A 12,859-nucleotide genomic window follows, 5' to 3' on the forward strand; every position below is an offset into this window, starting at 1 on the left:
TTAGCTGGGCCTGGTGGCGGGCACCTGTAGTCCCAGCTACTTGGGAGGCTGAGGCAGGAGAATGGCGTGAACCCGGGAGGCGGAGCTTGCAGTGAGCTGAGATCGCGCCACTACACTCCAGCACTCCAGCCTGGGAGACAGAGCCAGACTCCGTCTCCAAAAAAAAAAAAAAAGAAAAAAGAAATGTGAAAAGCATAGTCTCTGGGAGAAAAATATCTACAATTCTTTAAAACAGAATGTGAACCATGAAATGTTCATACAAATGCATGTGTGTGGAAAACTACAAAATACAAAGTGGGAAAATACAAGAATTTGTCTTGCTTCAATGTTTACCTGTGATGTGTCATGTCCCAGGCTTATGCATTCTAATTTCTGAAATGGTAGATATGTAAATAAATCCTTTTTTTTTTTTTTTTTTGAGGAGTCTCGCTCTGTTGCCCAGGCTGGAGTGCAGTGGCATGATCTTGGCTCACTGCAAGCTCTGCCTCCCAGGTTCACGCCATTACCCCGCCTCAGCCTCCTGTGTAGCTGGGACTACAGGCACCCGCTACCATGCCTGGCTAATTTTTTTTTTTTTTTTTTTTTTTTTTTTTTTAGTAGAGACGGGGTTTCACCGTGTTAGCCGGGATGGTCTCAATCTCCTGACCTCGTGATCTGCCCGCCTTGGCCTCCCAAAGTGCTGGGATTACAGGCATAAACCACCACGCCCGGCCAATAAATCCTTTTTAAAGAGTTTTTACCAAGATGGTATTATAGAGAGTATGTCAATTGGTAAGCAATCTTTTTACCATGTGCGTATTCAACCAAATTTATTTTTGAACATTCAGAACACCAGATTATCACAGATTAAAAAGAAAGCACCAAAAATTACTACACATTAATACCTGAGCAGAGACTGAAGGCAAATATTCATCTATTAAACCTACACCATAATGCTCAAACACAGGTAAAAACATTCACAACACACTCTACAGAATATAGTAAGTAGTACTTTTTGTGAATTACAATCACATAAATGTAATAATTTTAATTATACCATATAAAAATACACACAAAATTACACATAAATGTATTTAATATACTATACATTGTACAAAGTACTGGAGATCATGCATGTTTAAATGGAAAGATCAGCAAGGTGACAATCATTTTTTATTATATACTACAGGACAGGTTCCTCTGCACTTGTTAAGTGTTGTTGTTATGCACTGTACTTTCTGGATGGATGAGAAAAAAATAATCAATTTGCAAACAAATGATTACTGAGTCTATCTCAGCATAACACATAGGTTGTCCTCTATAAATTTTTTAACTATAGTATAAAAATTGATGCAGGTTGAGAGCCATTTATTTTATTACATACCCTTGCTCAAACTACCTTCATGTCAATAAGATCATGTTTTAAGGAAAGACATTTTCTTTGTATGTGTTTTTAGAGAAATCTATATTTTTGTCTGGCGAGTAGGTAGTGGAGGTAAAATGGGAAAACAATGTGTTGAGTTTACTTTCAAAATTGAAATTGAAAAATATACAACAACTGTGAGTACACAGAAATGTGGGCATCTTTTATCAGAGACCATGATTATCCTGTGAATAAAATAATTTGGACCTTAATATAAATTATATCCATTATTTTAAATAAGCACAGTAAAAATGCAAGTCTACATTTTTTTAAAAACTGAAGCCCGTTTTCTCTTGAAGCCTTAAAAATATATAGGAAGAAAAAAGAGAAGGAAAAATGAGAGGAAATAATGTTTTAAAATATACTACATGAATGAGTTTATTAATTATTAAAAATAATTATTGTGTAAATTAACCTTATTTGATATATATAAGCCTCAATAAGTTCAGAAAGAATGAGCACAAGTCAAAGAATTCATGTCTTTGACAGATTACTCATTAATAAGACAAAAAATTACATTTGAAGATTAGTTTTTCCAAGTGTGGTAAGTTCAGAACAATGCTACCACCTTCTCCTAGAATATTTTTTCAGAAACCTAAGCCAAACCTAATTTTCTACATCTATGTAGCGTAAGTCTACTTTAATTCAAAATGAGAACTCTGAAAATTAAGGGAGGCCTCTACAGCAATAGTTCTGGAAATACTAAAGGAAATACCAGTCAACTTTTATTTTAAACTTTTATTTCACCAACCTCGAAGACAAGGATTTGGGGCCAATTTGAGAGGACCACCCATAATAAAATGTACAGTTATAAAATTGCAGGGCACTCTTTATCATTTCAAGGCACACTCTGTTTTATCCCAAATGACTATAAGTTCAAGGTCACAGTGATGATATATATTCAATTTTGGTCTGGTTTCTCATGGGTATGTTGTTATATTTATAGCCAGTCATAAGCTTCAGAAACTATAATACAATCACTTCAAAATAATATGTCATTTTTATATTTTTAAAAATGTAAATATGTAACATAATTTCCTAATTTATATACAGTATAAATCGGGAGTTTTTTTTCCACTGCACAGTGGAGGAAGGGAAGGTTATTTCTACCAGTATTCCAACAAATACATATTTGATTATATAGAAAGCATGATTATGTTAAATACAGGCATCTCCTACTTAGAATACAATTATTCAACACAAAAGATGAACTCATTTCAAAGAACAATGTAAACTGAACTTAGGCCTTGTACACTATCTTTTTACTAATAACACCTATGGTCCCCATTAGAATAAACTGTCACTAAATCAAGGCCAGAGATTTCGATATTTGGCTTTCTGTCCTGCCTCCTTACTTCCAAGGCTATTTATGCAAACTGCATCAACATTACTGGGCAGAGAAATACTTAGTAATATTAAATTATGGGGAAAACTATAATATGAGGAACTGAAATTTCCTTAGAATCTTTATGGGGAGAAATTGAAGCACTTAATGCTGATAAAAAATAATTTCTAAGCCTATCACATTTTCTACTTTTCTTCCATGAGAACAACATATTAATGTTAACACTTTAGTATTAATATCTTGTTTTATAATATTTTCCTTTAAGATACGCATATTAAAAGGTTGTACTATGTTAGGTTCCAGTGGACAAGTTCCCCTGTGAAACATGTGACTATATAAAGAGACTGAATGGAAATACATAAAAAACAAAAGAAATTCCACAGTCACCTTTCAACTACATAAATGAGACACCTGTACTAAAATGGCTTGTACAACAATGTACATCACAAATTAAATCTGAAGCAAGATTACTTCAAATAATTATTTCAATGAATTGCTGAAAGATCATTACTAGGCAAACTTTTACCCAATAAAATCAGAAAACATTCAAGCAATCACACAAAATAGAACACACTAGGCTACAAATCTTGAATATTTTCAAAGAAAAATTAGGGTATGAAATATAAGTTTTCATGGTTTAAACATTTATTGTAAGTCCTAGATGAAACATACTGAAAAGATTATTTTTGCTTTAATCCTAATATGCTAAGAAAAGTTCATTGGCACAAATATCCAGAGGTATTTTACAGTTTCATTTACCTTTGGTGGCAAAGAGTATTTTGCTAACCGTATGGATACAGTCACATAGTTTCCAATGCACAGCTTTATGCTAAAGAGAATTCAAATGTGTCTCTTTTTTTTGCTAAAAAAGGGATGTAAAAAGTCCAATATGAAACAGAACGAGTGCAACACGAAATACAAAATATGCCTATCATGTAGGCTTTTGAACAGTTAATAGCTCTACGTGTTATCTATAAACATTTTTTACTAGTAACATCACTATTGTATAAATATTAAAAACAAAAATGACATTAAAAAATAGCATATGAACTTTACAAAAATGGCTACTTTTAGTCTTCCTAAACTAAAATCGGAATTCAAATACGCAAACAAATCTACACTAACTAATCAAAACACACCAACAGATACAGTTTTTCATAAGTGTTCAAAGTTACAATGTACAGAATGAGTACAGACAGATTCTGACTCATATATCAAGTCCTATACAAAGTCTTCAGAAATTAACTGATTAATTGGTATTTCAAAACACAGATTGTTTTTGGCAGCATAACATGCCAAACACTTTCAGAAAGTCCTGTACTTTATTTAAAAGTTATCAACCGTAGACAATTAAGACAGCTTAGAATATCACCTTTTGAAGGACATGTTATGAATTTACACTGTTAATGGAAAAACAGCTTGATTATTCTCACAATTTCCAAATGTTATTCTGTTGTCAAAACTAAGTTATTAACAGATAATAAATTCATATAAGTTCTTCTGTACTCAATACAATTTATCAAAAAATGTGACTTCTTGAGCATTTGCAGTATACATATTTGGATTTGGATTACTGACCTGACTTTTCTTTCCTATTATTCTTATTAAAAGTAAAGAATGGTAGTAGCTTCACAGCTTTCCTATTTCCTCAGGCTATTAAACATATTGTGAAAGAATGCATGAGTAATGGGTAAACATAAAAGTTCATTACAGAATTTAAAACATTCTTAGTTCAAAAAAAAACTGGAATAAAATTTTGGCTCCTAATCAACTTACTATGCTGTAAAAGTCCCTTCTACATTTACCTTACTAGGAAAGAAAGTTTTCTGGCAGGGTGTAATTTTATAATACAAACATATTACTGCTTTCTTATCCTGGCAAATGTCATGCACTCCAAATGGATTTTCCCCAGTAAATTTTACAAAGTATCTTGTTTCCTGTAATATACAAGTTCACAAATCCTACACAATGAGAAAACAAAAAGCAATCATGAAAAATAATCAACAAATGCCTAGTCATAGAAAGTCCCAACACATTTTCATTTTTCCCAAATGATTAATAATAACCAGTTACTAAACTTCAAATGCAGCACTGTAAAGTTTCACACTGAACCTAATAATAATGCAAGACATTATGCTAATTTGGACCTAACACCTAAAATGAAAATGTGGGTCAACTGATTTATCTGGGGGTTCAGAAATCAACAGCCCTAGTTTAATTCATAGTTTTGTGTTTCCTCCATTTCCCAGAGCTTTCAAGAACTAAACTGAAAACTGAATTTTACCACCTTTTATTTCCCTTGGCCACAAAGGGTGCTAATAAACAGCAAGATGAAATGAATGCACTATACTAAATGTGAGAAGTCTGAAGAATTAAGAAAAGTATAGGAACTAGGCCAGGTGGTCATGCCTGAAATCCCACTACTTTGGGAGGCCGAGGTGGGAGGATCGCTTGAAACCAGGAGTTCAAGATCAGCTTGGGCAACAAACTGAAACCTCGTCTCTACAAAAAAATTAAAAAGTCAGGCACAGTGGCATGTACCTGTAGTCTCACCTGCTGTGGGAGGCTGAGATGGGAGGATCACATGAGCCAAAGAGTTCAAGGCTGCAGTGAACTATGACCGCCCCATTGGACTCCAGCCTGGGTGACAGAATGAGACTCTGTTTCTAAAGAAAAAACATATAGGAACTAAATAATGAACAAAACAAATAATCCACCTCATGTAAGTTTGTGTGAATTTTGGAAATGAGTAGTATCACATGAATGACAAGACAACCAACAACAAACACTATGCCTATTACAGTTATTTCTTCTTTTTTCCTTACTATATAATCATGTAGATTAGTAGTATAGTTCACTCAAGAAGGGGTATTCCATTATATAGATCTGAATTTGTCTAGCCAAAATATGAAAAAATAAAGATTAATCAATACATGATCAATATATATTGAAGAGACTCAAACTCAATGTTAACCAGGCACAGATGGCTTTTCTAGAGTCATCACTTTAAATATTTTCATTCTGGTGATAACCAAGAGAAAAAAAAGAGTTAGCAGAACCTGTTTAATTTCTGGCATAAAAAAGATCCAGGAAAAAAAACAGTGTTAGCAATCTCTACCTATTATCAGTTCCAAATTACAATCAGTAGTAACTCCAAAGGAGGCTTTAGAAATACTAAATGTTCCCAGTGTTTTCCTCTGTACAGACTATATTTGATCTGGTTATCAACAATAGGGTCTAGGAGTTAAGCACAAAACTTACTCATAACTCAATTGCTAAATTAGAAGGCATAACAGTTGCTGTAAAAGTTGAGCTCAGAAATTTCCTGAATTAGATAATCTATAACCGCCAATAAATAATTTCATTTTTGTTAACATTGCTAATAGGGCAGTGCTGTTTAACCAGCCAATAATATAGATTGTGGGCATGATGAAAACTGTGTAATTTAAAGGCAAAGAACTTTCCTTTTCTCAAGTGACAGAAACGTCCATTTTGCTAATCTTCAAAGAGCCCACCTTCGCATCTCTGGTAGCCAGCTGGGTTTAAAGTGCATCAAGACTCAATGAAGACCCTGTCAAAATGTAAGTGTATACATATGTGTCTGTATATATACACATATAATGGCTAAAGACCCAACCTACTATTGATTATAAAATGTTTAATTAGAATCATTTTTGTAGTCCTTAAAATGAAATTTTTTTTGGCATAAATAATACTTTAGGACTTGGTGATAACTACATTCCCATGAAAATATTTGAGTGAGAATTAGTGTACCTAGTCTGCTGCTTTAAAAAGTAAATGTACGGCTGGGCGTGGTGGCTCACGCCTGTAATCCCAGCACTTTGGGGAGGCAGAGGCGGGCAAATCACGAGGTCAAGAGTTTGAGACCAGCCTAGCCAACATGGTGAAACCCCGTCTCTACTAAAAATACAAAAATTAGCCAGGTGTGGTGGCGGGTGTCTGTAGTCCCAGCTACTCGGGAGGCTGAGGCAGGGGCATCACTTGCACCTGGGAGGTGGAGGTTGCAGTGAGCTGAAATCGCGCCACTGCACTCCAGCCTGGTGACAGCGTGAGACTCCATCTCAAAAACAAACAAACAAACAAACAAAAAGCAAATGTACTACTCACAAATGAGAAATTGAAGCTTGTTACATTCATGAACAGTACTAACTAAACAAAGAGGTTTTAGAATACATAAACATAATATTTATGGCTATCAATAGAAGATCCAAATTAATGAATTTTCTAAAGTTCTTTCTGTATATGGAACTAAGTCCAAATTCAGAAATAGTTTAAGGACACATGTAATCTGTAACTTGAGATACACTAAAATATCAGGTGACAGAATAAAAGACGCAATGTGTATCAAAGTTGTTTATAAGTATAGTTAAACATAGGGAGATGTGTCCCTATTTAAACATATACGTGGTATGCCATGGGACAAGTATATAATCTAATAAATTCTCTCTCTTTCCTCTCCAGCTGAAACATATAGCACTTTGTATTTTATCTCTTCTGCTACTTCTCTCAAACAAACAAGCACCTGTCTGCCATATCCCCACCACGAGTTTATCATTTCCCTTTAATGTTCTCAGTAAGTTAAAATATGAATACTGAAAAACATGCTCAAAGCTAGAAAAGACAACAATGGGATCAAACAAACTTAAAACCCTCAGAGATGAGAGCAAGACTCCCTTCAACTGAGGCCAAAATAGCCAGGACCTGAGGAAGAACTGAGAAGAGAAGTTAGGTAACTCTCTACAGGCAGTAAGCAGAAGTAACTGTCCACAGGCAGTAACAGCTGAGAGGCTGTAATGGAATCCAGATGCAATGGCAGATAAAATAAAACTGGTGCTCGAGGACATCCCTGGGTACTAACAAGGATACATATTCACAAGTGCAATGGTGGAATCACTGGAAATTTACATGAGAGGCTTTGTGGAATCACTAAAACTTTAGTTGAGAGGATTTGGGCATTTACAGTCTACACATCTAGAAGAACTCTATAAGCCGGGTATGTCTCAGCCTGAGTTTACGCTATCCTAAGGCAAAGAGTATACTCTTCTGCCTTGCCGATTACCTTCTTCCTACTCTTGTAGCTAAAAGTGACGTAAATTCTGAAATGAAATAAAATGTTACTCTTATTTGTCAAACAGTAATCCCAGAAGTCACCTAGGCAAATCAAGATTCCACTGTTAAACCTAGTGGCTAATGTCTCCAATTTATTCAGGTGTACTGTTTATACTCATGCTACTAATGGGTTAACAGTTGTCTACTGATATTCCATTAATAGTATAATATTATACATCAAATGTGATGTTACCTTGATCATGTTGTTGTTGTTGTTTTTTCCCACAGCAGAAAAAATGGTACAAACCTAGAGTTTCCAACCACTGGAATTTAGTTATTTTAACAATCCATTATGACCTCAGGCACTTTTGGCAACCATGGTGCAATGAATTGAATCCAATGGTATAAACTAAACAACTGAACTGCTCCAATACCAGGAAGCAAATAGCTACGAGCATTTTTTCTTTACATTTAACAGCAGACCTCTTTAATAGTCTCCTGATGTTCACCGAGAATATATAGTAAGATTCATATTTGAAAAATAGCAAGAAAAATTGTGTAAGTTTGAATCATGTTTCCACCCATCAATCTTGCATTGGTTACCAAGAAAACATATCTCCTTACCATTCAAAGCTCTATTTTCATAGATGTAAGAAGACAAGATCCACTTTGTTCATGGTGGCTGCCAAAAACTAACCAAAGGCTTTCTGTGGCTATTTAACCTTTGAGAAACCAAACAGCTATAAATTTCATCAGTTATTTAAAGACTTATTTCTTAATAGGTAAACTATAGCAAATTCAAAATAACCTACTTTTGTGAAAAAAAGTTTGATGAAATGAGCAGAATGCTTGCAGTGAGACTGCAAATAATGCTGCATCTACTAAATCTCTCATATCAGACTTCTCGTACAGTTGATAAAACAGACTATTTTATATGCACAGGAGTCCTCAATGATAGTGATCACCATATATCCCTTCATGAATTTTTCAAAAATGATTACTACATGGATTCCACACCACAAAACAAAACCATGCTTCAACTACTTCCCTCAAACATTACAAAACTAATTTCCTATTTTCAATATTGTAAAAATAGACTTGTCTTCTCCAAAGGATCTTGCTGTCCATACTGATGGATCTGTGTGTTCCCTCTTATCACTGGCCCTAAACACATAAATTATCTTCATCATTCCTTAAGTCCAATCTTACATAAAGTTGCATAATGCATGGAGTAAAAGAGGAATGAAGACAAAGCATGGAAGCCTATATAAATGTGCTGACCCAAAAGCAATCACACCAACAGCCAGAGGAAGTGGAAATTGTGAAGTAGTCTTCAACAATTTACTGTAAAGAGACAGAGAAATATACATTACTTATGTGAACTACATTGTGAGCCAAAATTATATCAATCTTTTATACAGTTTTGGAAAGATAAATATTCTAAGTGAATTTAAATGAATTTTTAATGATATGAATTTACCTATTCATAATTTCTTTTTTTATTTTTGAGATGGAGTCTCACTCTGTTGCCCAGGCTGGAGTGCAGTGGCGCAATCTCGGCTCACTGCAAGCTCCGCCTCCCGGGTTCATGCCATTCTCCTGCCTCAGCCTCCCGAGTAGCTGGGACTACAGGCGCCCGCCACCACACCTGGCTAATTTTTTGTATTTTTAGTAGAGACGGGGTTTCACTGTGTTAGCCAGGATGGTCTCGATCTCCTGACCTCGTGATCCACCCGCCTTGGCCTCCCAAAATGCTGGGATTACAGGCGTGAGCCACCACGCCTGGCCTACCTATTCATAATTTTTAAAAAGGTCAATACAAGCCATACTTGGCTAGAAAAGAAAAATATTTCTATTTAAAAAATAGCCAGTTTTATTTAGTCTTTCTAATTTTAAAAACAGAAAAATACTAGTTGGACTTTTATTCAGTAGTTCCACTTCTAGAAATTTATCCTAACAAAATAATCAATAATGTTCAATAAGACATAGCTACAGAAATGTTTATTTTAACCCTACTTATAAAAAAAAAAAACAAAAAACCAAAGAACCATCTTACATTCCCAAAACAAGGAGTATAAAGAGAAAAATACTATCAGAAAAGACAATTACCTTTTTACTCTGAAAATAGAGAAACTGAGAATAAGAGGGGTTAAGAAATGTAACTAAAGACAGAGCTATTAAATATTTGGCAGAACCAGGATTTAAACTCCAGGTCGGCCTGATTCTAAAATATCTGCAAATATCTGGCAGAATCAACTGAAAAGACTCCCAGAGCAAACAACAAGTGAATGAAAAATCAGGTTTTATTATGGAAAATTTGAAACTACAAAAGTAGACTAACAGTATAATGAACCCTCATGTAAGCATTACTCAGCCTCAAAAATTATCAAATCATGGCCAATTTTATCTCACCAATATCTCCATCCACTTCTCTTGTTTGCTTTTTGGGAAGCAAATCTTAGATCATGTCTTTATAGGGTTAACTTCATAAAGAAAAAAAAACTGCATTATATTCTATCAAATAAAACCTATAATTAAGAAAACAAGTATACTTGCATATAAACCATAATACTATTATGGCTTTACTTTTAGGAATATTTAAATTAATTAGAAATAAAGAGTATATTTTAGATATAAAGGGGGAAAAAGGCCAAGAACAGATATAAGAAAAAGAAAGATTAAACTACTGTACCTTGATTTTATTGAAACAGTGTAAGTATTTCCAAGAATTGCCATAGTCGGAATAAGGATAAATGCCAAAGGTTTACATGGATCAGGATTAAGTTTAAAATAATACCTATAATATTAAAAAAAGAAACCCACAAATCAACAATGACCTGATCATTTTAAATTATCAGAATCAAGAGGATAAATATTGTTAAAGACATTCCAGTAGCAATATGGATATAAGAGAGCTCTAAATAGTTCATGAAATATCTGATAAATAATTTTTGTTCTACATCATCTTTGTATTCAAGGTTTTAGAAAGAGAATTATGATCAGAAACTACTAAAGGAAATGAAAATAACCGGTATGAAAGCACTTTCTTTTTATAAGCAGTGTATGTTTAAAACGGCATAAAGTTTAAAAAAAAACAAATTACTTAAAATACATGAGTACTACTCTATAACAAAAAAGATAAAATGAAGGTTCATGAAGTTAATTGTCCCTTATCTTTTTAAAAATCCAATTCATTTCTTGCATTTACTGACAGTAAAATGTCTATAGCCTTTCAGAACCAAAAATTTGTGCTCCTCAAATAATTCTGACAGCAAATCTGTGAACAAACATCTGGATATTGACTAAAATAAGGAACAGATATAAAAGAAGGATATTAAAATCTAGCAACCTTTGATTTAATTTGAACTTATTTTGGTTCTGCCAACTTAAAAAAATTCCCAGTATTTAGATAACTTGAAAGTTTTATATCATTTTTGAAAACTACATTGAATAGGGGTTCAACTACTACTTGGATGAAGTGGCCTTTTATTTAGCAATTGACCAATTAATAAAAATACAGTTCACCCTTTTGGGCTGATTTTTTGAAAAGTTTATATTCCCGAAGTTTATATACACATAGTAAGGGAGAAAATGTGAATGTATTAAAAATAAATTGCTTGAACCCAGAAGGCGGAAGTTGCAGTGAGCTGAGATCGCGCCACTGCACTCCACCTGGGCAACAAAGCGGGACTCCATCTCAAAAAATTAAAAATAAATAAATAAATAAATAAATTTCAGGTAATGTATAGCTTCCTGTTCCTGAGGAATTTTCATTAACCATTAGGAATCTAGCAAGTCTCTACTTAGGGATATTTATTGTTTGAACCACATAAACAATAATTATATCAATAAAACGCACCTAAGATTCTTTAGCCAATAAATTAGAGAAGGCATGCTGAGTAATACAATCCATGTTAGTAAGTTAATCACAGTACTGTGCATGCGAAGGCTATCTTCAGCATCGTTGGCAGATAAACGAAGATGGTGTATTGAGGAGTCTTTATGATGATTGGATTTCTTTTCACTTCTTCTAGAGTGTTTGGGATTCTATAAAACAATAAAGTAGAAATATCAAGACACTAAACAAAAGTATATTACTTTATTTAGAATCATACTCATTACTTATCAACTAAATAAGTACATCTTTCCATTACCAAACTGACATAAAATCCTGAAATTACTTTGCTTAAAAATACTTTAAAATTGTTATAAAACCTTTATTCTTTTGACTTGCTAGTTCTACTGCTAAGAATATATCTAAGTAATTATTCAAAATAAAATTTAATAGACAATAAACTTGTAAAAAAATGACATGGGTACTGACAAAAGATGAACTTATAAGTCTTTTAAAATATTCATTAGGTTCACTTTACTTAAATTCATAATACTGTATCTTTTAAGCACTATGAAATACTAACCTTAAAAAAAAAAACTCTTATATTTCCCCATGTTCTTTCATTTTAAATTTATGTAGAGTTTTGAAAATAAAACTTACCACAGGCTGGCTATTCTTAAAAGTTGTTAAGCTGGCTTGCAGATGAACAACCTAAGAAAAATAAATTGCTCTTTAATTTTACTTTTATTTTGAAACAAAACATATAAGCCTTTTGGTATTAAAAATGAGAAGCACTGTAATCTGAAATGTTTAAAATGTAAACCAAAAAGTCATTTAAACATTTAAAAACATTCTTATACAAAACAACAACTACACATGCTGGCTATCATGGATTAAAAAACAAACAAAAGCAACAAACAAATGAACAAAAAAACGGAAACAGAAACAAAACAATACAAACTTCTGGAGTATGGTGGGGCCAGGATATACCGCTATACCTTTTATAACCTGTAAAAGCCTATGTTTGAATGATGCTTTGTTATAGCAACTTAAAGTGTCTTGTAAGTCAAAGATTTCATTACATTCAATATAGTAAAAGGATATAACACATTTCACATATTTTAAGTCTTTGAAAACCAGAACCCAATTATATACAGTGGTGAAATGTTTATAAGAACTGAAAAAAATCTTTAAATTTAATTTATTA

At 33.3% G+C, this 12,859-nt stretch overlaps 1 protein-coding gene across 5 annotated transcripts in view; it reads right to left on the reverse strand.

Annotated features, from left to right (window-relative positions):
- Positions 793–12,859, reverse strand: part of PGAP1 (post-GPI attachment to proteins inositol deacylase 1) — a 93,704-nt gene continuing 81,637 nt past the window's right edge. For all 5 annotated transcript variants that reach the window (NM_001321100.2, NM_024989.4, NM_001321099.2 and 2 more), the window contains 4 exons: positions 12,313–12,363; positions 11,677–11,864; positions 10,510–10,614; positions 793–9,161 (listed from right to left, as the gene is read on the reverse strand). In NM_001321100.2, the coding sequence (NP_001308029.1) occupies positions 9,023–9,161; positions 10,510–10,614; positions 11,677–11,864; positions 12,313–12,363 (483 nt within the window). In that variant the 3' untranslated portion in view covers positions 793–9,022. The remainder of the gene's footprint in view (positions 9,162–10,509; positions 10,615–11,676; positions 11,865–12,312; positions 12,364–12,859) is intronic.

Source organism: Homo sapiens, chromosome 2 (genome assembly GCF_000001405.40).
Source record: "Homo sapiens chromosome 2, GRCh38.p14 Primary Assembly".
NCBI classification, from domain to species: domain Eukaryota; kingdom Metazoa; phylum Chordata; class Mammalia; order Primates; family Hominidae; genus Homo; species Homo sapiens.